Source organism: Homo sapiens, chromosome 9 (assembly GCF_000001405.40).
Source record: "Homo sapiens chromosome 9, GRCh38.p14 Primary Assembly".
Classification (NCBI taxonomy): Eukaryota; Metazoa; Chordata; class Mammalia; order Primates; family Hominidae; genus Homo; species Homo sapiens.
The window spans coordinates 803,599-828,252 of NC_000009.12; the positions used below are offsets into that span (position 1 = coordinate 803,599).

At 44.2% G+C, this 24,654-nt stretch overlaps 1 long non-coding RNA gene across 3 annotated transcripts; it reads right to left on the reverse strand.

Moving 5' to 3' along the window:
• Positions 1 to 1,637: 1,637 nt before the first annotated feature.
• On the reverse strand, positions 1,638 to 23,158 carry LOC105375949 (uncharacterized). Of its 3 annotated transcripts, none has more exons than XR_929411.1 (2): positions 23,082 to 23,158; positions 1,638 to 1,821 (listed from the first exon to the last, which is right to left on the reverse strand). It is a non-coding gene; the product is annotated as an uncharacterized LOC105375949 (long non-coding RNA). The 3 variants fall into 3 exon arrangements; XR_929412.1 differs by lacking the exon at positions 23,082 to 23,158 and adding an exon at positions 22,932 to 22,964; XR_001746561.1 differs by lacking the exon at positions 23,082 to 23,158 and adding an exon at positions 15,380 to 15,591.
• Positions 23,159 to 24,654: the final 1,496 nt, after the last annotated feature.

A 24,654-nucleotide genomic window follows, 5' to 3' on the forward strand; every position in this document is an offset into this window, starting at 1 on the left:
TTTCCTTATTTTGCTTTGTTGTTGTTGTTTTTGATTTTTGTTTTTGCTTTTTTGAGACGGAGCCTCGCTCTGTCACCAAGGCTGGAAGTGCAGTGGTGTGATCTCGGCTCACTGCAATCTCCACCTCCCAGGTTCAAGAGATTCTTATGCCTCAACCTCCTGAGTAGCTGGGACTACAGGCAACCGCCACCACGCCTGGCTATTTTTTTTGTATTTTTAGTAGAGATGGGGTTTCACCAGGTTGGCCAGGCTGGTCTTGAACTCCTGACCTCAGATGATCTGCCTGCCTCAGCCTCCCAAAGTGCTGGAATTACAGGCGTGAGCCACTGTGCCTGGCCTACATATTGCCACTCAGGGATATTTGTTAAGAGGACATGCTTTTCACGGGGAAAATGGTTAAGTAAATTATTATCCACTTGATGGAATTGTATGTATTGATTTTAAATGATGGCTTTGAGCTCTATGTAATGACATGGAGAAAGTGTATTAATAATGTCAAAGAGAAAAAGGCAGAAGGATAAATGTGTTCTTACAAACTCATATACAATGATTAACAGTTATAATAAAGTCCCACACCTTTGTCCAGGCCTGCATGATTCAGCCCTCTGTCCAGCTCTCTGACCACATCTCCTCCCTCTCTCCTGGTCTCTTGCTGTGCTCCAGCTACTCAGGACCTCTTTTGGTGCCTCATACACACCCAGCTTGTTTGCACCCTGGGATCTCTGCACAGCTCTTCCCTCTGCCTGGAATGCCCTTCTCCCTCTCTTCACATGCTACATCCTTCCTAGCAATTCAAGTCAAGTGTGGCTCAACATCATGCCCTCATGAGGCTTTCCCTGAAAGCCCGATCTAAAGAAGAGAACACAAGCCTCCTTATCACCTTGTTCAATTTTCTTCTCCGGTGAATGTGAAATTATCCTTATTTCAGCTTATTCATTCATTTTCTTGTTTACTTTATGACAACAGGAGCTTTGCCAATTGTTTGCTATTAGATCCCCATATCCCAGAATAACATTTGGTCAGTTACTATCTGTTCCATGAATAAATGAAAATATGTGGCCGGGTGCGGTGGCTTACGCCTGTAATCCCAGCACTTTGGGAGGCCGAGGCAAGTGGATCACTTGAGGTCAGGAGTTGGAGACCAGCCTGCCAACATGGTGAAACCCTGTCTCTACTAAAACACAAAAAATTAGCCGGGCATGGTGGCAGGCACCTGTAATCCCAGCTACTCGGGAGGCTGAGGCAGGAGAATTGCTTGAACCTGGGAGGCAGAGGTTGCAGTGAGCCAAGATCACGCCACTGCACTCCAGCCTGGGCAACAAATCGAGACAAAATCTCAAAACAAACAAAAAAAAAAAAAAGAAGAAAAGAAAAAGAAAATATGCAAAGGAAAAGAAAGGCAATAGCTGCTCCAAATAAGACATGTTTTAGACAAATGCTCATGTGTATGGGCAAAACACTCAAGGACTGTATTTGTGACTAACTGTATAACAGGTAATTTTAGTTTCTGCTCTGTGGAAAGTGAAGAGCATTCCAACAAAGGGTTTTAATGTAGTTTTTTTTTTTTTTTGCACCCATGCTGTTGATTGCTAAATGTAATACTCTGATGATGATGCTGAATAAATGTCTTTTTGAAAAATGTGCTGTGTAAAGTTAGTCTATTCTGAAGCCATCTTGGTAAATTTCCCCAACAGTGTGAAGTTAGAATTCCTTCAGGGTGATGACAGGTTCTATTCGGAATTTATTTACAACGCGCTTGGGTGGAGATGCCATTGTCTTCAGAAATCTTGGTGTAGTGGATCTGATAGTTACTGTTGTGACCTGAAGTTCACCATTAAAAGGGATCAAGCAAAATCATGTGGTTATAAAAATGGTTGTTAGCACATCCTATGCAATGTATCTAAATTGAATAATGCTACCAGATAAAATTATAGATTGGAATGAAGCTTGTATCATCTATTATCATGTGTAATCAATAAGTGATTTAATTTTCTTAAAAAAAGAAAAAGGAAGGCAATACCTCAAATCGCTAGCATTTTCTACAAAGATACCTGAGTTAAGATTGTTTTTTTCTCTTTCTTAATATTTTTATATGCTTTCTATAATATTATTTCCCTCCCTCCCTTCCTTTTTCTTTTTTTTTTTTTTTTGACAGCATCTCACTCTGTTGCCTAGGCTGGAGTGCAGTGGGGTGATCTTGGCTCGCTGCAACATCCGCCTCCTGGGCTCAATCTGTTCTCCTACCTCAGCCTCCCAAGTAGCTGGGATTACAAGTGTAAGCCACCATGACAAGCTTGGGAGTATTTTAATTTTTAATCTACTTTCTAGAAAACAATATAACGAAAATTGGGTTTAGATGGTTCACCTCAACGTGAATCAGTCTTTCTTTAAATATGGTACTATGGTCTGAATGTCCTGCAAAATTCATGTGTTCAAACTTAATCACCAATATGATGTATTAAGAGGTGGCCTTAGGCCGGGCACGGTGGCTCACACTTGTAATCCCAGCACTTTGGGAGGCCAAGGCCGGCGGATTATCTGAGGACAGGAGTTCGAGACCAGCCTGGCTAACATGGTGAAACCCCATTTCTACTAAACATACAAAAAAATTAGCCAGGCATGGTGGCACATGCCTGTAATCCCAGCTACTCGGGAGGCTGAGGCTGGAGAATCACTTGAACCTGGGAGGCAGAGGTTGCAGTGAGCCGAGATTGCCCCATTGCACTCTGGCTTGAGGAACAAGAGTGAAACTCCATCACAAAAAAAAAAAAAAAAAGAGGTGAAGAGGTGGCCTTAGCACCTCGGGCATAGTGGCTCATGGCTGTAAATTACCCAGTCTGTGATATTTCGTTACAGCAGCACACATGGACTAAGACAATGGGCTCATACTTGCAAAGCAGTCAACCTTCTTTCTGGAGAGGTGCTTAGTTATTATATCAATTGTAAATAGTTTGCTTTGATCTAAAGGCAAATCTAATTGCATTAAATAAAGATCATATAAAACTGCTAACAACAGTGTTGGTGAAATGGGCAGCTTAAGGAAGGGAAGAAGAAAAAAAGAAATTCACCAAATCCAAAACAAAAAAAAACCCAAAAACCAAAACAAAAAAACGACAAATGGAACTCCAAATGAATGGGGTATTTATGCCACCTACTGGATTCTTGTTGCACTGCTTAGTTGTGCCCTAATTTCCAGGGTTCTTTCTTGTCCTCTGACAATCCACAAATCTACCAGTCTTTTTAATACCCAACTGGACTTCCTTCCTTCCTTAAAGTTCCAGAACTGTTAATTGATGTGTACTGGGCACATCTGCAAATCAACTCATTCTGCAAGTCCTTGCTCAAGGCTCCTCCTCTGCAAAACCCTACCTGACCCACTGAGGTGCAGGATCAACCCCTCCTTCGGCCAAGTCTTTCTCCTCAGTTGCCAGCTCACCTAACCTTGTGTCGTGAGGGCTGGTGTGTCTGTCTCCCGCTTAGCGTGTAAGTACCTAAGGGCACATTGCTTCTTCCTACCTGCTTTGTACCTGGAGTGTCATAAGGATGGTGTTAATTCAGTCAGACCTTGTTCAAGTGCTACAATTAATTCTATCCTCACAATCCTATGAGTAGAGATTATCATGCCTGTTTCACAGATAAGGAAACCAAGGCACAGAAGGGTTAAGGAACTTCACCAAAGTCACCAAGGTAGAAATGGCAGGGCAGTCTTCAGGCCAGGCAGTCCAGCTCCCTGTGTCCTTCGTTGCTATGCTCCCAGCCACTTGATGAAAACTGAGGTATCCTCTGTGTTTCATTTATGAAACTGGCCCTGTGTTCACCTGTCACAGACGGCCACCATCCTAGGCTGTAGCGCTGCCCTCCAGGTCCCCTGTGCCCTCTTCTCCACTCTGCTCTGTGTCCCAAAATCTGGCCTCTATGGACTGCATCAACAGGCCCCTTGTCCTCTAGCTTTAGTTTGCGTGTGGTCATAAAAGGTACCCTTAAAAGTAGGAGGGTAGGACAAGGGCAAGGAAGGAGTCTTTCTTTCCCTGGTTTTCTCCCTGCTGGGTGACCAGAGGTTGGCTGCAGGTCTCTGCTGAAGCCAAGGCCTCTGCCAGATGGCATTCTCCAAAGCTTCAGCCCCTTTCTTGGGTTCCTAGGACTATTCCTTGTCCCTTCAGGTGTCGGATGGTGGTGGCTCCCTTTGTTGCCATCCCCAGGGAGGCCTGTTGCTATCCCATGTTGGTTTCCCTTAACCTTCCTCAAACTTCTGTAAATTATCTCTTTATTAAATTCTCCTCCATTCCCCACCTAAGGGTACCACCCTCCTCCTGTCAGTAGCCTAACTCACATAGCCTCCAAATACTTTACCCACCTGCTGAAATTCCTCCCCCCTGCTCAAATCCCACCACTCAGTTTTTGGGAGTTACAGATATCCTTTGCTGAAAGGCAAATGCTAGGAATCCCAAGCCAATAATAACTATTTATCAGATTGCTTTCCAACCCTGATTCAGGAGGAATAAGTTTTATACTGGGTAATAGGAACAAGGGAGCAGGCCAGGAGTGGAAGAGAAGGGGAATGAGAGGTGAGATGGCCCCAAGGACAAAATTCGCATAGATACTAAGAACACTTCCAGAGGATGCTATCCTCTGCAGTGGCTGCAGCCTGGGAGCTGTGTGGGGAACAGAGATGAGTACGATTCACAGCTCTGCTACTTAAAAGTTGACAGCTGTTAACTTCTCAGAGCCTCTCTTAATTTATAAAAGGTGAACAACAGTAGTATATGCTTCATAGGGTTGTTCTGAGGATTAAACAAATAATGCAGGCAAAATGCTTACTGCAGTGACCATCCAAGCCAACATGGTGAAACCCTGTCTCTACTAAAAATACAAAAAAATTAGCTGGGCGTGGGCGTGGTGGCTTGTGCCTGTCGTCCCAGCTACTAGGGAGTCTGAGACAGAAGAATCGCTTGAACCGGGGAGCAGAGGTTGCAGTGAGCTGAGATTGTGCCACTGCACTCCAGCCTGGTGACAGAGAGATTCCGTCTCAAAAACAAACAAACAAACAAAATAACCATCACAATGACCATTTAGTTCCCATTTAGTACAATCCTTTACAGGTTATAAGATAATGCTGCTCTGCAACGTGTGTGTGTGTGTGTGTGTGTGTGTGTGTGTGGTGTGTGTGTGTGGTGTGTGTGGTGTGTGTGGTGTGTGTGTGTGGTGTGTGTGGTGTGTGTGTGTGGTGTGTGTGTGTGGTGTGTGTGGTGTGTGTGTGTGGTGTGTGGTGTGTGTGTGTCTGGTGTGTGTGGTGTGTGTGGTGTGTGTGTGTGGTGTGTGTGTGTGGTGTGTGTGGTGTGTGTGTGTGGTGTGTGCGGTGTGTGGTGTGTGTGTGTGTGGTGTGTGCGGTGTGTGGTGTATGTGTGGTGTGTGTGTGTGTGTGTGGTGTGTGGTGTGTGTGGTGTGTGTGTGGTGTGTGGTGTGTGTGTGTGGTGTGTGTGTGGTGTGTGTGTGGTGTGTGTGTGGTGTGTGTGTGGTATGTGTGTGGTGTGTGGTGTGTGTGTGTGTGTGTTTTCTTTGTTTCTCCTTTAGGCCATGAATTCTCAGAAGCTAAAACTGGTTCTTGGGGGGCCAAGAAATCCTAGATATTACAATGGTGTGTAGCCCTCCAAAGTCAAATTCCACCTGACAAATTCTTCTTCTTTAATATTTCTCTCACTAGGGAGAAATTAAATTATATATATGTTATAATTTCCTATTATGGAACTTAATTTGTTTAACTTTAATTAGTCTAAATTTATTAAATTACCATAAATTTTCTCCTTAGAAAGTGTGTTATAGACCGAATGTTTGTATTCCCTCAAAATCCATATATTGAAATCCTAATCCTGGCCGGGGATGGTGGCTCACGCCTGTAATCCCAGCACTTTGGGAGGCCGAGGCAGGCGGATCACGAGGTCAGGAGTTCGAGACCAGCCTGACCAACATGATGAAACCCCGTCTCTACTAAAAATACAAAAGGTAGCCAGGCGTGGTGGTGCAAGCCTGTAATCCCAGCTACTCTGGAGGCTGAGGCAGGAGAATCGCTTAAACCTGGGAGGCGGAGGTTGCAGTGAGTCGAGTTCGCGCCACTGCACTCCAGCCTGGGCGACAGAGCAAGACTCCGTCTCAAAAAAAAAAAAAAAAAAAAAAAGAGACCCCAGAGAGCTCTCATTGTCTTCCTACCAGGTGAGGATAAAGAAGTCACCGGTCTGCAACCCAGAAGAGGTCTCTCACCTGAATCTCACTGTGCTAGACCCTCATATTGGATTTACAGTCTCCAAAATTGTAAGAAAATAAATGTCTATTGTTTAAACTATTCAATCTATGGCATTTTGTTACAGCAGCCTGAGCTAAGACAGAGTAAAAATTAATAATATCAAAAAACGTGAGAAACACTGCTTTAGGCCCTTTTGCAGAACATATTAGAACTATCTCTAGCAATAAAAGGAAAGGTGTCTCACGCCTGTAATCCCAGAACTTTGGGAGGCTGAGGCAGGAGGATTCCTTGAGCCTAGGAGTTTGAGATCAGCCTAGGCATGTAGTGAGACCACGCCTCTACAAAAAAATTTTTTTAATTAGCTGGGTATGGTGGTGTGCACTTGTAGCTGCAGCTATTCAGGAGGCTTAGATGGGAGGATCACTTGAGCCTAGGAAGTCGAGGCTGCAGTGAGCCACAGTTGCAGCACTGCACTCCAGCCTGGTCAACAGAGCAAGACCCTGTCTCTCAAAAATAAATAAATACACGCATAAAAATAAAGGGAAAGGTACGGCGCAGTGTTTTCATTGACTAGGTAGGTTTTTCAACTCTGTTTGCTGTTTCACCTTTAATTTTATGAATGATGAGAGGAGTTAGTGTTCGATTTAGCCAATCTTTAAAAAAATTGTGGCCATTAAATTGTAGTAACTCAATATTAAAAGTAATTTCCATAGAAATTTGTTTTGTTGTCAATAGCTGTAGCACTAACACTGCATTACTCAATTTCTGACAGCAAAACCAGCACACTCCACCCACAAGAACCTTATTACAGCTCTGATGAAACCAGTTATATTTATGATGATGACCTGCAGTTAAATCTACCGCTAGGACCTCTTCCTCCTGAGCCTCTGTCCTATTCAAAATGCCATTTATTTATTTCGAGAGACTGCTAGTCATTTCTGTTGGGCATCCAATAAGCTGCCAGGCTGCTGTCTAAAAGAAAACCACTTGTTTCTGGGGGCCTTTCAAAGTTTCCCTTTAAACACAAGCTACTTAAACAACCAGAGCACAACCTCCAGCTCCATGACTCTTTTTTTTTTTTTTCTTTCTTAGACAGAGTCTTGCACTGTTGCTGAGGCTGGAGTGCAGTGGAGTGATCTCAGCTCACTGCAACCTCCACTTCCCAGGTTCAAGCAATTCTCCGGCCTCAGTCTCCTAAGCAGAAGTAGCTGGGACTACAGGTGCACACCACCACACCCGGCTAGTTTTTGTATTTTATTAGAGACTGGATTTCACCATGTTGGCCAGGCTGGTTTCCAACTCCTGGCCTCAAGTGATCTGCCCGACTGAGCCTCTCAAAGTGCTGGAATCACAGGCATGAGGCACTGCGCCCAGCCTTATGACTCTTTAAAATATATGACCTGGGCAGGTAGCCAGGCACCTCAGAGCCTTGCTAACTTCATCCTGAAAGTGGAGATGATGATGCCCGGCTGCCCAGCTCAAGGAAAACAATCAGTGAGCCGCCACATGCCACCGCATGGCAGGTAATATTATAATGAATCAAAAGCTTCAGTATTTTCTGCATAAGTTTATGACTAATGAGAAACTGCACACAGGCTGTTCCTTCCACTGTTTGTTCTTCTGCATGCTATTGGCCTGACTAACCCGGCCCATCCTTCTGATCTCTGCATAGAGCTGCTTCCTCTGAGAAGCCTTTCTTGATGCTCCTTGATTTCCCTTCCCTACCAACCCCAGGTTATAGTCTTTCACCACGCTCTTTAATGGACTTGCATTCCTAACACGCTTCATAATCTGTACGTATACATCTCTTTCTGTGATTATCTGTAAAATGGAATGGAAGTACCACAGAGCCAGGCCCTCATTCCATGTTCCCAGCTATAGCCCTGTGTCCAGCACACGGCTTGGCACTCAGTGGGTGTTCAACAAATATTTTTACTAAGAGTTAGTAAACATGTCTGCCCCTTCTAAATCTCACCACCCACACATTTGAAGAGAAAATATGGAGTTTCTTTTCTCTTCCTAATTTTTCGAAAAGGACCCTTTTTTTTAAAAAAAAAAAAAAAAGAAAGAAAGAAAATCGAGGAAAGCAAGCTTAACCTCTGTTCACACATTGCCACATTTTCTTATCAAACTTCCAGAGACTTTATAAATGGAAAAGTGATACTCAAGAAACTGCCCTCCATATAATAATTTGCAAAAGTTGGGACTGGGTTCCCAGAAGCCCCTCCCTTTAATGAAATCACAGTGACCTGCTGCCTGACAATCTTGTCCCTTTCCCTAACCTACCAAGGACCTGCCTGGGCCTGACTTTTGAATCTCGTCCTTATCTTTCATTTCTTCCCTATTTTCCACTAAAGCTCCCCTGTCTTAGATGTGTCGTATCGGTTAAGGGAAGGAATCTGGCGTCAGTGCAAAATGAAAATATGATAAGCAAATATATTTTCATGGAATAATATGTTATCCCTTGGGAACAGCATGGATATTCATTCAATCATTATTTAGGATTAAGCAATCAATCTGTATACAATACAATGTTGGGTATTGAAGAAAATGTAAAGACATAAAAATGTGGTTTTTGGCAGATTTCCATTTCCAACAAAACAGCAAGGTAGATACTTTGAACCACTCCCCAAAACAAAAGACCTATACATTATGAATAAAATATCGTAAATATCCTATAAATACATGGTTGATCTCACAAGAAATGAAGGAAATCCCCAGAGGTCAAACACAAAGAAGCAGCTAAAAAACTGAAGGTAAGAGAATGGACACTTTGGATACCCTAGTGTGGGTTGCACCTGTTTTAGTGATGAAGGGACTTGGGTTTTAAGGGCCTCACAGGGCCAGGAGACAAGGCCTTTGGCTTCTCCTAAAAATGAGTTCGAATTGATAACCAACACAAAGCTGGGGCTTTCAAAGGGATACATCCTGAATGAAAGAGTGGACTAGAAAATCACACCCATTGGCCAAGAAGGATGATGAGGGACCTTGTCTGCCTAGGCCTTGGCTTTGGATGCATGGGACAAGATATGGGGAAGACATCTTCCATGAGACTTTGTAACCACAAACCTATCTTCACAGAGTTTTAGGGCTGGAACTACCTGTGAGGGCTGAGATATTAATGTCAAGAAGTGGTTATGGGCTGTTAACACCCTCAGGAGTAGCTGGCAGAAGCAAATGCAAAATTTTTCTGGAGGACCATCCCCTCAACCTAGATTTCCTTTCTCACAAATAAAGCTTCACAGACCATGAGCCCAGAAGCCCACATTTTAAAATGCATGCAAAAAGAAAACTTGATTCCAACCATCTTAGAGTTGGATAATCATTCAGAATCAATCAGAAAGAGTAGGCCTAGATTCACATTCAATGAAACGTTATGGGCCTGGCGTGGTGGCTCACACCTGTAATCTTAGCACTTTGGGAAGCCAAGGCGAGTGGATCACTTGAGGTCAGGAGTTCAACACCAGCCTGGTCAACATGGTAAAACCCCATCTCTACTAAAAATACAAAAATTAGCTGGGCATGGTGGCACATGCCTGCAATCCCAGAAACAAGGGAGCCTGAGGCTAAGCCACAAGAATCGCTTGAACCCAGGAGGCGAAGGTTGCAGTGAGCTGAGATTGTGCCACTGCACTCCAGCCTGGGCGACAGAGTGAGATTCTATCTCAAAAAAAAAAAAAAAAGAAAGAAAGAAAGAAAGAAAAGGAACGTTATGTTAAGATGAATTTTTCACCAAGGATTTTGCACTACTAACGCTTCATCCCAAAACATATAACTATCAAAGGTAGAAATTGTAGGTACCCTAGAGAGCTACGAAAAAAACTTTTGGCAGGGCGCGGTGGCTCACGCCTATAATCCCAGCACTTTGGGAGGTCAAGGCGGATAGATCAACCGAGGTCAGGAGTTCGAGACTAGCCTGGCCAACATGGCGAAACCCCATCTCTACTAAAAACAGAAAAAATTAGCCAGGTGTGGTGGTGGGTGCCTGTAATCCTAGCTACTTGGGAGGCTGAGACAAGAGAATCGCTTGAACCAGGGAGGCGGAGGTTGCAGTGAGACGAGATTGTGCCACTCACACCAGCCTGGGTGACAGAGCAACACTCTGCCTCAGAAAAAAAAAGAAAGAAAAAGAAAAAACTTTTATACAGGCAAGACCCAAAAATCACTTAAGACTTGTTGATCCCACAGCTAGCTCCCAGCAAGTAGCTGAGAATCAGGAGGCTTATACTCGTGCATTCAGATGAGGCTCACAGAATTCTGGAGCCAGAAATGTAAGTATTACCCACCATGGAGTGAGTATATCATCATGATTGAGCATACTTGCACTATCATTTCAGACTGCCTGGGTTACAACCCTTACTTCATCCCTTTACTTATCCTCTCAGTCCTCAGTTGCCCCATCTTTAACACAATGATAATAACAGTGCTTACTCCAGAGGTTGGGTATCATGATTAAGTGAGATTTGTTCATTTAAAGAGTTCAGCCAAGTGCCAGTTTAATAAATATTAGCCATTCTTATTCTCATTATAAACTGATTACCAGATTTAAATTATTTTTCATGAGATGTGCATTCAAATATTACCTCAAAAAGCATTCAGAAAGCTAGTTCTAAACCAACAACACATAGAAATGTCACCTCCTAGGGCCATGCTGGGCATGGTGGCTCATGCCTATAATCCCAGTGCTCTGGGAAGCCAAGAAGGGAGGATCACTTGAGGCCAGAAATTTAAGACCAGACTGGGCAACACAGTGAGACTCTAAGAAAAATAAAAATAATTAACTGGGCATGGTGCTGTGCACCTATAGTCCTAGCTACTCAAGACGCTAAGACAGGAGGATTCCTTAAGCCAAGGAGTTTGAGGCTGCAGTGAGCTGTAATCACAGCACTGTACTCCAGCCGGGGTGACAAAGACCCTGTCTCAAAAAAAAAAAGAAACAGCTCCTAAAGCAATCAATTTATCCTTTCCTCTCCAACTGTATATTCAGCAAAACCAGGTCTTCCTTTGGGTTAGGCAGAGTTCTTAGCTAGAATATTCAAAAACACAAGACATAATAGAAAATAATGGATAAATTAGACTTGATCAAAATTCAAAACTTTTATACTTCCAAAGAAACCATTAAGAAAATAAAAAGAGGCCAAGGGGCCCAGCACAGTGGCTCATGCCTATAATCTCAGCACTTTGGGAGGCCAAGACAGGAGGATTGCCTGAGCCCAAGAGTTCAAGATCAGCCTGGACAACAGAGCAAAATCTTATCTCAATAAAAATTTTTGTAAAAATTAGCCAGCCATGGTGCCACGCACCTGTAGTCCCAGCTACTCAGGAGGCTGAGGCAGGAGGATCACTTGAGCCCAGAAGGTCAAAGCAGCAGTGAGCCATGATCATGCCACTGCACTCCAGCCAAGGTGATAGAGTGAGACTCCCTCTCTCTCTAAAAAAAAAAAAAAAAGAGACAGAGAGAGTTATGGACATAAGACCTTTATCAGATACATGACTTGTGAATATTTTCTCCCAGTCTGTGGCTTGTCTTTTCATTTTCTATTCTTCTTTTTTTGAGATAGAGTCTTACTATGTTGCCCAGGCTGGAGTACAGTGGCATGATCTCAGCTGACTGCAACCTCCGCCTCCCGGGTTCAAGCAATTCTCCTGCCTTAGCCTCCCTAGTAACTGCGATTACAGACACATACCACCACGCCCAGCTAATTTTTTGTATTTTTAGTAGAGATGGGGTTTCACCATGTTGGCCAGGCTGGTTGGTCTCAAACTCCTGACCTCAAGTGATCTACCTGCCTCGGCCTCCCAAAGGGCTGGGATTACAGGTGTGAGCCACTGTGCCCGGCTCATTTCTTTTTTTTTTTTCTTTTGAGAGAGGGCCTCGCTCTGTTACCTAGGCTGGAGTGCAGTGGTGTGATCATGGCTGACTGCAGCTTTGACCTCCCGGGCTCAAGCAGTCCTCCTGCCTCAGCTTCCTGAGTAGCTGGGACCACAAGTGTGTTCCACCACCTGGCTAATTTTTTATTTTTAGTAGAGATGAGATCTCACTATGTTGCCCAGGCTGGTCTTGAAACTCCTGGGCTCAAGCAATCCTCTGGCCTCAGCCTCCCAAAGTGCTGGGATCACAGGCATGAGCCATTCTGGCCTACAATAAGAACTCTTAACACTCAGTAAGAAGAAGACAAACGATCTCATATTAAGATAGCAAATAATTTGAATAGATTACTAAAGAAGGTATAGGAATAATTAATAAGCACATAAAAGATGCTTAGCATCATTAATTAGCCTTAGGGAAACGCAAATTAAAAGCACAATGAGATATACTTTATACCCACTAGGATCACTATAATAAAAAATACAGACAATAATAAGTGTTGTGGAGGATGGAGAAAAACTAGACCCCTCATACATTGCTGGTGGGAATGTAAAATGGTGTAGCCACTTTTGTTTTTTTTTGTTTGTTTTTTTTGTTTTTAGACGGAATTTCGCTCTTGTCACCCAGGCTGGAGTGCAATGGCGGCATCTCAGCTCACTGCAACCTCCGCCTCCTAGGTTCAAGTGATTCTCCTGCCTCAGCCTCCCGAGTAGCTGAGATTACAGGCACCTGCCACCATGCCTAGCTAATTTGTGTATTTTTAGTAGAGACGGGGTTTCACCATGTTGGCCAGGCTGGTCTCGAACTGTTGACGTCAGGTGATCCGCCCACCTCAGCCTCCCAAAGTGCTAGGATTACAGGTGTGATCCAACATGCCCAGCCAGTGTAGCCACTTTGGAAAACAATTTAGCACTTTCTTAAAACGTTAAATATAAAATTACCCTATAACCTAGCAATTCCAATCCTAGGTATCTATCCAAGAGAAATGAAAACATAGGCCTTTACAAAGACTTATAGCAGCTTCATTCATCCACTACAAACATGGAAACAATGCAAATGTCCATCAACTGGTTAATAAATACACAAAATGTGGTATTCCACATCAGTATGGATGAACCACAAAACCATTATATTAGGTAAAAGAAGGCCAGTTCCAAAATCTCTATATTGTATCATTTCATTTTCATGAAATGTCCAAGAAAGACAAATCTTGGAGAGAGAAAGTAGATTAGTAGCTACCTTGGGCTGGTAGGAAGGATAGCCAATGACTGTAAATGGATAAGAGGAATCTCACTGGAGTGATGAAATGTTCTAAGACTGTGACTACGGAGATGTTTGCACAACTTGTACATTTACTAACAATCATCCAATTCTACACTTGAATCAGGTGAACTTTATGATTTATAATTATACTTTACAAAAGTTATTTTTAGGCTGGGTATATGGTAGCTCACACCTATAATCTCAGCACTGTAGGGGGCGAAGGTAGGTGGACTGCTTGAGGCCAGGAGTTTGAGACCAGCCTGGGCAACACAGTGAGACCCTATCTCTACACAAAAATTTAAAAATTAGCTAGGCATGGTGGTGTGCAGCTGTAGTCCCAGTTACTCAGGAGACTGAGGCGGGAGGATCCCTGGACCCTGGGGACATCGAGGTTACAGTGAGTTACGATAGTGCCACTACACTCCAGCTTGCGACACAGCGAGACCCTGTCTCTTCAAAAAGAAAAAAGGCCAGGCGCGGTGGCTCACGCCTGCAATCCCAGCATTTTGGGAGGCTGAGGCAGGTGGATCACGAGGTCAGGAGTTTGAGACCAGCCTGGCCAATATGGTGAAACCCTGTCTCTACTAAAAATACAAAAATTAACTGGGTGTCGTGGCGCATGCCTGTAGTCCCAGCTGCTTGGGAGGCTGAGGCAGGAGAATTGCTTGAACCTGGGAGGCAGAGGCTGCGGTGAGCCAAGATCACGCCATTGTACTCCAGCCTGGGCGACAGAGCGAGACTCCATCTCAAAAAATATATATATAAATAGGCTGAGCGTGGTGGCTGATGCCTGTAATCCCAGCACTTTGGGAGGCCGAGGCGGGTGGATCACGAGGTCAGGACTTCAAGACCAGCCTGGCCAAGATGGTGAAACCCTGTCTCTACAAAAAATTAGCCAGGTGTGGTGGCGGGTGCCCGTAATCCCAGCTACTCGGGAGGCTGAGGCAGATAATTACTTGAACCCGGGAGGCGGGGGTTGCAGTGAGCCGAGATGGCGCCACTGCACTCTAGCGTGGGCGACAGAGCGAGACTCCGTCTCAAAAAAAAAAAAAAAAAAAAATATATATATATATATATAGATAGATAGATAGATATAGATAGATATATATATCAAACAAAAAAATATACTCCTTGCTTTCCTTTTCTTTAATTTTTATAGATTCTGTTTTGCTAGAGTTAATGAAAAGGCTTTTCCCTCATAACCTCTGGCTAATTCTGTCCCATTCCAAGTGTTTATTTCTCTTACAAAAAAAAAAAACAAAAAAAAACCCTAAGGCTTATTTCCCCTTTTCTAGGTACCTACGCTTGGAAGTGCCAGCACTATTACGTTTCACTCTGAACAGGTGACCGCCTCCCTACCGACCCTTCTTCCCTGCCTCCTATCCTCCTTGCCTTGGCCCTTTTCTCCAGTTAGGAGGGGGCCTTTCTAGCTGGTTCCTCTATCCATGGCTTCCTGGTTCTTGACTGTTTGCCATGTGCCAGGCACTTGTGTTAGGCTCTTTTTTCACTTGTGGTGAATAAAGCACACCGGCTTTCGCAGGGCTTCAAGAAAAGGTAACAAATGCCAAGAGCCAATTTGCAGGTAGAAAAGGTAGAGGTGAAGATCGGGGACAGTGGTGGGGTAGTGTTTGTTTTTGCCTGCTTCTGGATTTCCTGAATAGAGCTGTGTGACCTCTCCCTCTCTGGGATTTATATGATCCTTTTCCAATTTTCCCTTCTTGAAGTGTCCTTTACTATCTATTTTCCCCGGTTTCCTGTTGGTTTCTTTCTTAGCCTGATGAATTATACTTTTAACTCCTATGCTTCCTCCTTCACCCACAACCAGCCCAAATTTAAATACTGAAAAGAAAAATAAATCACAGGCTAATGCTAACCTTTTATAGCTTTCAGCTTCTGCTACAGAATGATAAAGTGGGCTAAAATGTCATTTCTAATCCAGCTACAGAACCAGCAAATATTTTGAAGTCCCTGATGGGGCATAAGTGTAGATGCCTTACCCAGTAAATTACCTGGCAGGGGGTAGAATGTATCTTTTGCATTTTGTTTAGCAAAAGGATTGTTACCATTGTCCCATCTGCAGTGAGAATTTAGAGCACATTCAGAATTCTTTAATCTGGAAACTGGCCCTGGGATGTGCAACAGAGGGATTCCATCCGACTGGAGGAGAGCAGATTCTCTGCAGAGCAATGTGTTCGCTGTGCTAGCACAGTGCCTTCCTGCCAGAGTACACTGTGACTTGAACCTTTAGGAATGAAATATTGAGATACTAATTATGCAATTTGCAAAACCACTTAAGTTGCTTGCAAAAGAACCACGTTTGTTTTTTGTTTTTTCTTTGAGCAAAGACTTAAATTTAGCAAAAACAAAAAACATAATTGATGAGAAGGAGTAAGCGGAAGACTTCCGGTGTGCTGTAAACAGTCGGTATCATAATCTCAGTGGCAGTTATATGGATACATACAAATGTAAAAACTGATGGGGAGAACACTTAAGATTCTTGCACTTTATGTGTATTATACTTCTTTTTTTTTGAGATGGAGTCTCATTTTGTCGCCCAGGCTGGCGTACAGTGGTACAATCTCCACCTACTGGGTTCAAGTGATTCTCGTGCCTCAGCCTCCTGAGTAGCTGGGATTACAGGTGTATGCTACCTCACCCAGCTAATTTTGTATTTTTAGTAGAGACAGGCTTTCACCATGTTGGCCAGGCTGGTCTTGAACTCCTGACCTCAGGTGATTCGCCTGCCTCGGCCTCCCAAAGTGCTGGGATTACAGGTGTGAGCCACTGCTCCTGGCCTTATACTTCATTATAAAAATTTAAAAACGGATGGATGGTGGTGGTGGTTGTGCAACCACATGAATGTATTTAATGCCACTGAACTGTACATTTTAAAAAAGGTTAAAGTGGAACATTTTATGTATATTTTACCATGATAAAAAATTGAAAGACACATACTTAATTGAGTACAGCTCACTATCATATATTAAGGGATGCTACTGGTCGGGTGCAGTGGCTCATGCCTGTAATCCCAACACTTTGGGAGGCTGAGGCAGGTAGGCTTCTTGAGCTGAGGGGTTTGAGACCAGCTTACGCAACATGGCAAAACCCTGTCTCCACTAAAAATACAAAAACTAGCTGGGTGTGGTGGAGCATACCTGTCTCAAAATTTTTTTTAAAAAGTGAAAAATAAATAAATAAATAAATAAAAAACTTGACCCTAATGATGGAAAAGTTAACATTATAAGTAGATGGAAAAAACACCTCTCTGCCTGGAACATTTGCCTTGGCTCTTCACTTATTTTCCCAAGTTGCTTCCCTCCCAAGGTCTATAATCTCTACTAGAAAATGGAATAGTATTGGACAGTGTGCCTCCTGTCCCAGCCTCCTCATGACCCGCACCTGACCCAACCCTCTCATACTCTCCCCTGCATGCATGACTTCCAGGGTTGGGGGAAGCTGAACAAAGGCCTAGGGTTCAAGGGGAGGGCAGGGTGCAGGCAGGGCAGAGAGGAGGGAAAGGCCCTGCAAGGATCTCTGCTCTCCTCCTATCTCTGGCTTCCCCCTGCCTCTCCTCCCCCAGCCTGAGGCAGGGGGCAAATTGTAGACTTTTAGTCAGGAAAGAGACCCTAGGTCATCATTTCATTTCAGTTTTAAATGAGGCAAACAAAGTACAGAGAAGTGAAAGAGCTTTTCCAAGGTCACAAAGTCAGCTGGAGGCAGAGCCAGGACTAAAGTTTAGGCCCTCTGATGCCCAGTGCTGTCTGAGACCTGTACCTTGTGTGCAGTCTTGTCTCTGTGCTGCTCCACAATCCTCTCCTTTCTTTCTCCTCTACCTTCCTGCCGGAGTTTTTTGTTTGTTTGTTTGTTTTTGTTTTTGTTTTTTGAGACAGGACCTTGCTATGTTGCCCAGGCTGGAGTGCAGTGGCATGATCACAGCTCACTGCAGCCTCGACCTCCAGGGCTCAAGCAATCCTCCCACCTCAGCCCCCAAGTACCTGGGACTACAGGCATGTGACACCAGGCCAGCTAATTTTTAAACTTTTTGTAGAGATGGGGTCTTCCTATGTTGCACAGACTGGTCTTGAACTCCTAGGTTCAAGAGATCCTCCTGTCTCGGCCTCCCAAAGTGCTGGGATTATAGGTGTGAACCACTGCACCTGGCCTGGAGCACTTTTTATAAGCACTTTACTGAGTTGTTTTTGTTTGTTTGTTTGTTTGTTTTTGTTTTTTTAGATGGAGTCTTGCACTGTCGCCCAAGCTGGAGTGCAGTGGTGCGATCTCGGCTCACTGCAAGCTCTGCCTCCCGGGTTCACACCATTCTCCGGCCTCAGCCTCCCGAGTAGCTGGCACTCCAGGTGCCCGCCACCACGCCCGGCTAATTTTTTGTATTTTTAGTAGAGACGGGGTTTCACCTTGTTAGCCAGGATGGTCTTGATCTCCTGACCTCGTGATCTGCCTGCCTCGGCCTCCCAAAGTGCTGGGATTACAGGCGTGACCCACCGTGCCTGGCCTAGCACTTTACTGAGTTTTAATTCACATGTCTTAAAATTTACCCATTCAAAATGTACAATTCAATGAGTTTTAGTATACTGAGTGTTATGCAACCATGTCAATTTTCAAACACTCTCACCACCTCAAAAAGGAACCCTGTACTCATTAGTGGTCACTCCCCATTTCCCCTCAACCCCTAACCCTACGAAACCATCAATCTATAGATTTGCCTTTTCTGCACATTTTGTATTAGTGGACTCATATAATATGTGGGTTTTTGTGACTGGCTTTTTCCACTTAGCGTAATGTCTTCAAGTTTTATCCATGCCATAGCCCTCCAGATTATTCAATTGCTCTTGTCAAGGTAAGTGGAATAAAGGGGCAGAGAGAAGAATAAGAAAGAGAAAAATAAGAAAGAGAAGAATAAGAAAGAGAAGAATGAGAAAGAGAAGAATGAGAAAGAGAATTCTGAGGGCTACGACACAACAGCACAATGAGATGATGGCAGGAATAAATTCCCTTCTATGTACCATGTACCTAAGCAATCTATTAATATTCATTGTCTTATTTAATTTAATCCTCATAGTCTAGGAGCACTACCATCCCCTATTTAGATGAGAAAAACTAAAAAGGAATTTGATAGGTTTTCCAAGGGAATTCAAGTCATAAGGAGTAGAACAAAGATGGGAATTCAAGTTTGCCTGGCCCCAAAGCCCACTGTCTTCCTTTCATTAGACTGGTCCACTTTTTGGGCTATCAGATTCTGACAGTGGGTGGTTTCACACCCATGAGTGGTGGTGACTTCTGGTTAGTCAAAAAGAGTGATGATTTTAAATCATTATACTTCCCTAGCCCAAAATCTCCTCATTCATCATCCTCACATTCCTCATTGCAATACTGTTTCCAAGAGCCAAGGAAGAACAAGACCTACAAGACCAATGTAAAGGACTGGATAAAGTGTGGCACATCCATGCAGTGGATTCAGCGGTCAAATAGGTTGAAAAAGATCCTTCTGGACTGATAGGGAATAATCTTGATATACACAGTGAACAAAAGCCACATACAGAACAGTATGTATACTATGCCACCATGTGTATAAAAAATGTGGAGAGGAAGTGGAAAGTAACACACATATATATGTTTTTACTTGTGTATGCACACAGTAACTCTGCAAGAAATCTCAGAAAATGTAAAACCGGCCAGGTGCAGTGGCTCACGCCTGTAATCCCAACACTTACGGAGGCCGAGGCAGACAGATCATCTGAGGTCAGGAGTTCAAGACCAGCCTGGCCAACAGGGTGAAACCCCATCTCTACTAAAAATACAAAAATTAGCTGAGCATGGTTGTGCGTGCCTGTAATCCCAGCTACTCAGGAGGCTGAGGCAGGAGAATCACTTGAACCAGGAGGCAGAGGTTGCGGTGAGCCGAGATTGTGCCACTGAGCTCTGGCCTAGGTGACAGAGCAAGACGCTGTCTAAAAAAATAATAATAATAAATAAATAAATTTAATGAGCCCCTTAGGGATAACAGGTTTTGGTCTTGGTGCTGGGGATACAGATAGGAACCAAGCCAAATAGAAAAGATGGGAAAGACTTTCGTAGGCGTCACACATCTTGTTGTTTTGTTTTGAGAGAGGGGCTCACTCTGACACCCAGGCTGGAGTGCAGTGGCACAATCATAGCTCACTATAACCTCAAACTCCTGGGCTCAAGTGATCTTCCTCCTTCAGCCTCCCTGTAGCTGGGACTACAGGTGTGCACCACCACACCCAGCTAATTACAGCCCCTTGTTTCCTGTATCCAAAAGACAGTTCCTTTGACACCAGTAATAACTCCTCTATGAACAGAAATCTTGCACTTCTCTCCTGATTTTTCTATAGCATTTAGAACTGGTCTGCACCACACTTAACAATTACTTACCTGCCCCTTTGTTTCGTTTGCTGTGGCTTCAAGAGTGCTCAGTGTAGATCACCCACACTCAGTTGTTGTCACCGTTCACACAATTGTCTAAGATCATCCCAGGACCTAAGAAATATCCCTCTTCTCCCTTCCCACTACCCACTTGTTCCCACTGCCACCATCTGAGGAACAAGAGATAAGCAATGGGACCTTCCTAGGATGTGGTTAAAAGTGTGAATCTGTCCTAGGTTCACATTTGGGAGGCCAGAGGTGGGAGGATTGCTTGAGGCCAGGAGTTCTAGACCAGCCTGGGCAATCTAGCAATACCTTGTCTCTACAAAAAATAGAAAATTGAAAGAAAATTAGCCATGCATGGTGGCACATGCACACCACTGCACTCAAGCTTGGACAACAGAACAAGACAGTTTCTTAAAAACAAAACAAAACAAGTGAACCTGGGTCCGACTGCTCTTCCCCTTTTTTCAGATTGGGCAAATCAGTCAGCCTCTGTACACCCCAGATTCCACAAGTCTAAAGTGGGGATAATGACATGACTTCTGTCAATGGCTGTTGTGATAACTAAATAAATTAATATATAGGCCACATAAGTAAATAAATTAATATACAGGCCTGGTACAGTGGCTCATGCCCCTAATCCCAGCACTTTGGGAGGCAAGGGCAGGAGAATCATTTGAATCAGAGTTCAAGACCAGCCTGGGCAACATAGGGAGACCCCATCTCTACAGAAAAAAAAAAAATTAGTCAGGCATGGTGGCACATACCTATAGACCCAGCTACTCAGGAGGCTGAGGTGGGAGGATCACTTGAGCCTGGGAGGTTGAGGCTGCAGTGAGTTGTGATGGCACCACTGCATTCCTGCCTGAGCAACAGAGCAAGACTCTATCTCAAAAAAATAAAATAAAAATAAAAATGAATACACAAAGCACTTATAACAGTGTTAGGCATATAGAAAGCAATATGTGGATTTTGTTAATGATCGCTATTATCTTTAGTCATTCCTTCCCCCACCTACCACCCCTTTCCATCAAGTTCAGCCAAACATAACATGTCTCCATTTCTGGAATACATCATGCACCTGCCTGCTTGGCTGACTAGGTTTCTTGTCTTCCCTGTCTGCCTGGTAAGGCTGGACTCTCTGCATAACTCCCCCCCAACTTTCCCAGGTGAAATTAGCTGCTCCCTCCTCAAAGTGCCATTGTCCTATTTAACTTACATGGCCACCTTTCCTGGTAATCATGAGATCTGCAATGGCAGGGTCTACGCCCTGTTCATCGGCTAAGCCAGCAGGGGCCTGGGAAAGGCGGACTGTCTGAGGGGCAAGGACAGGATGACCATTTTAGACTATGCCTGCCATTTATAAGACTTTGGACATACCTCCAAGTGTTAGACCCTTTTGACTTATCTTCATTTAAAAAATCATACTGGGGGTCTAAAAAAAAGAAAAAGGAAAGTTTACAGCAGGAGTCAGGCACTGTTTCATAAAGGACCTGGTAATACTTTAGGATTTGTGGGTCATCTGGTCCCTGTTGCAACTATTGAACACTGACTGCCCATGTATCTTCAAAGTAGCTCAACAGTACAGGAATGGGATGAGTGTGGCTGCGTTTCAATAACATTTCATAAATGGACCCTGAAATTTGAATTTCATACTATTTTCATGTGTCACAAAATAGTTTACTTTTGACTTTCATTCACCCATTTAAAATGTAAAACTCGAGGCCAGCCTGGCCAACACGGTGAAGCCCCTTCTCTACCAAAAAACACAAAAATTAGCTAGGTGTGGTGGCGCGAGCCTGTAGTCTGAGGAGGCTGAGGTGGGAGAATCGCTTGAACCCAGGAGGCAGGGGCTGCAGTGAGCCATGATTGTGCCACTGCACTCCAGCCTGGGCGACAGAGTGAGACCCTGTCTCAAACAAAAAAAAGTAAAACTCAGCGGGACACAATAGATCACACCTTGTGATTCCAGCACTGTGAGGCCAATGCAGGAGGATCATTTGATCCCAGGAGTTCTATGCCAGCCTGGGCAACATAGCTAGACACCGTCTCTACCAAAAAAAAAAAAAAAAATTTTGCCAAGTGTGGTGGGATGCTCCTCTAGTACCAGTACAGGAGGCTGAGGTGGGAGGATTGTTTGAGACTGGGAGGCCGAGGCTGCTGTTAGCCATGATCACACCACTGCATTCCAGCCTGGGCAATAAGCAAGACCGTGCCTCAAAAAAAAAAAAAAAAGTAAAACTCATTTTTTTGCTGCAGCCCATACAAACACAGAAGGTAGGTGGATTTGGCGGAAGTGCCTGCGGCTTGTAGACTACTGGTATAAAGGATCTTTTTTTCTACTGCTTTTCAATTGTTGTTTGTTTATTTTAGAGACAGGGTCTCACTCTGTCACCCACGCTGGAGTGCAGTAGCTCAATCGTAGCTCACTGCAGCCTGGACTTCCAGGGCTCAAGCGATCCTCTCGCCTCTGGACTATAGTCATGTACCACCATGCCCACGCCCACGCCCAGCATTTTTTTTTTTTTTTTTTTTTTTTTGGTAGAGACGGTTCTTGCATGCTGAGTTGCCCGGGCTTTTCTTTTCTTTTTTTTTTTTTTTTGGCAGAGTCTCGCTCTGTGGCCCAGAGCTGGAGTGCAGTAGCGTGATCTTGGCTCACTGGAGCTTCTGCCTTCCCATTCAAGCGATTCTCCTGCCTCAGCCTCCCGAGTAGCTGGGGCTACAGGCGGGCGCCACCACGCCTGGATAATTTTTGTAGGTTTAGTAGAGACGGGGTTTCACCATGTTGGCCAGGCTGGTCTCGAACTCCTGACCTCAAGTGATCTGCCCGCCTTGGCCTCCCAAAGTGCTGGGATTACAGGCGTGAGCCATCGCATCAGGCCTTTTTTCTATTTCTGTGAATCCTTGGGGGAAATAGTGTATCCAAGGACCCTTAAAAGTAGGATTGCCAGATTTAGCAATAAAAATACAGAACACCCAGATAATTTGAATTTCAGGTAAACAAGGGATACTTTTTAAAAGTATATGTCTCATGCAATATTTACGTATCTTATCCGACACGCCTAATTCAAATAGTATAGTACTCTCCAGGTGCAAAGATATTCTCATCCTCCACCCCCACCTCCCACACTGCTGGCCCATGGCCCACCCTCTCACCATGCTCCCCGTCTTCTTCCTTCCTGTCTTCCCTTCTTTTCCCTTCCCCACCCCGCTCTCCAGCCGCATTTCCCCACCTCCATCCCCGCCCCCGGTGAGAGCTATCAGTTACCGCTGTATATTCCCGCGTGGAGAGCCCTTTGACCTCACCGTGTGGGCGGGAGAACAAAACCACTCCCTGTCAATCAGTGGGGAGCGGGCCGAGGACTACCTGTGCCCAGCACGGGAGCTGCAGGAAGATGGCGCCAGTCACGTGGGGCGAGACCATGCGGGCAGGGGCAGCCTGGCTGCAGGCTGGTAAAGCCCCAGGCAAGAACAATTTTTTGGGGGGTTCTCAGGAAGAAGAACAGGAGATTACACTTTGCAGGCCCCAGTGTGTCGATTCATGGCGCTATGATTATCTCTTCTGTGACTGTTTGCAGCTTTCATTAGTATTTGTAGATAGTAATAAATAAAAATACCCCAGTCTTGTCTCCGAAAGGATCCTGTAAACAAAGGAAAGGCTTTGTATTCCTCCTGAGCCTATGAGAGTAGGACGGTGTAAGTCTGCAAGGAATGCTCGGGGACAGGGAACTGGGCAGGCCAGGGATGGAATGTCGAGGGCAGAGTCGGGACTGCGTGAATGTCCCCACCATGAGACCCAGCCCTTTCTTAGAAGATCGAATTCTAGTTTGTATTTTTACCACTCCTTGATATGGTTCATAAATCCAAAAACTGCTCTCCTAGAAGCCTGCTTCTTCCAGGAAGCCTCCCGTCCCGCTCCAATCCTAAGTGTTTTTCTCTTCTAAACTCCTTAACTTCCTTAAAGTAACCTTTAGCAATGAATCTTGCACTAATGGTTTAGCAATGAGTCGCAACACCTCTTGAACTGTTGCTAATTTTTTTCTATGGTGAAATATTTCACTCATTTTCCTTATTTTCTAAGGGCCAGGAACATGCTTTTTATCAGTGTACCTGAAGTCATGGTTGGCTAAAGGTAGTTTTGACCCTTCAAGACATAGCAGACGACTGTGACAATAATCATATAATCAACTCTTGGCATATCAATAGTCATATAGAAATATATAAGCACCACTTTGGGAGGCCGAGGCAGGTGGATCACTTGAGGTCAGGTGTTCAAGAGCAGCCTGGGCAACATGGCATTTGTATTTTGGGTAATCTCTACCCAAAATACAAAAATTAGCTGGGTGTGGTGATGCGCCTGTAGTCCCAGCTACTCGGGAGGCTGAGGCAGGAGACTCACTTGAACCCTGGAGGTGGAGGTTGCAGTGAGCCAAGATCATGCCACTGCGCTCCAGCCTGGTTGACAGAGCCAGACTCTGACTCTTGGCTCATCTGTCTTCTGCAATTAGGTGAATTTTTGTTTCTATAATGGATCTCTAAAATGGTGTAGTTTTCTCCAACAGTTGGTAAAGCAGAAACCTAACAAGGCCTTCTTTGAAAAAAAAAAAAAAGATTGATAAAATACATAATAGCCTACATATATGTGTCTACTTAGGGTTTCAATTGTTAAACGTTGAATCAGTCACAAAATATTCATTTTACTATTCCCAACTCTCTACCCTATGTAAGTGACCTATGATAAAAATACAGGTACACTTACATTGTTATTTATCCTAGCAGTATCCATATGCTAATCTGTTTGACTTGTTTTTATTTTGTTGACAAGCTGAAAAATCAGAAAGATAGTGGCTATTGAACCCAATAGGGGATGTATCTGAGC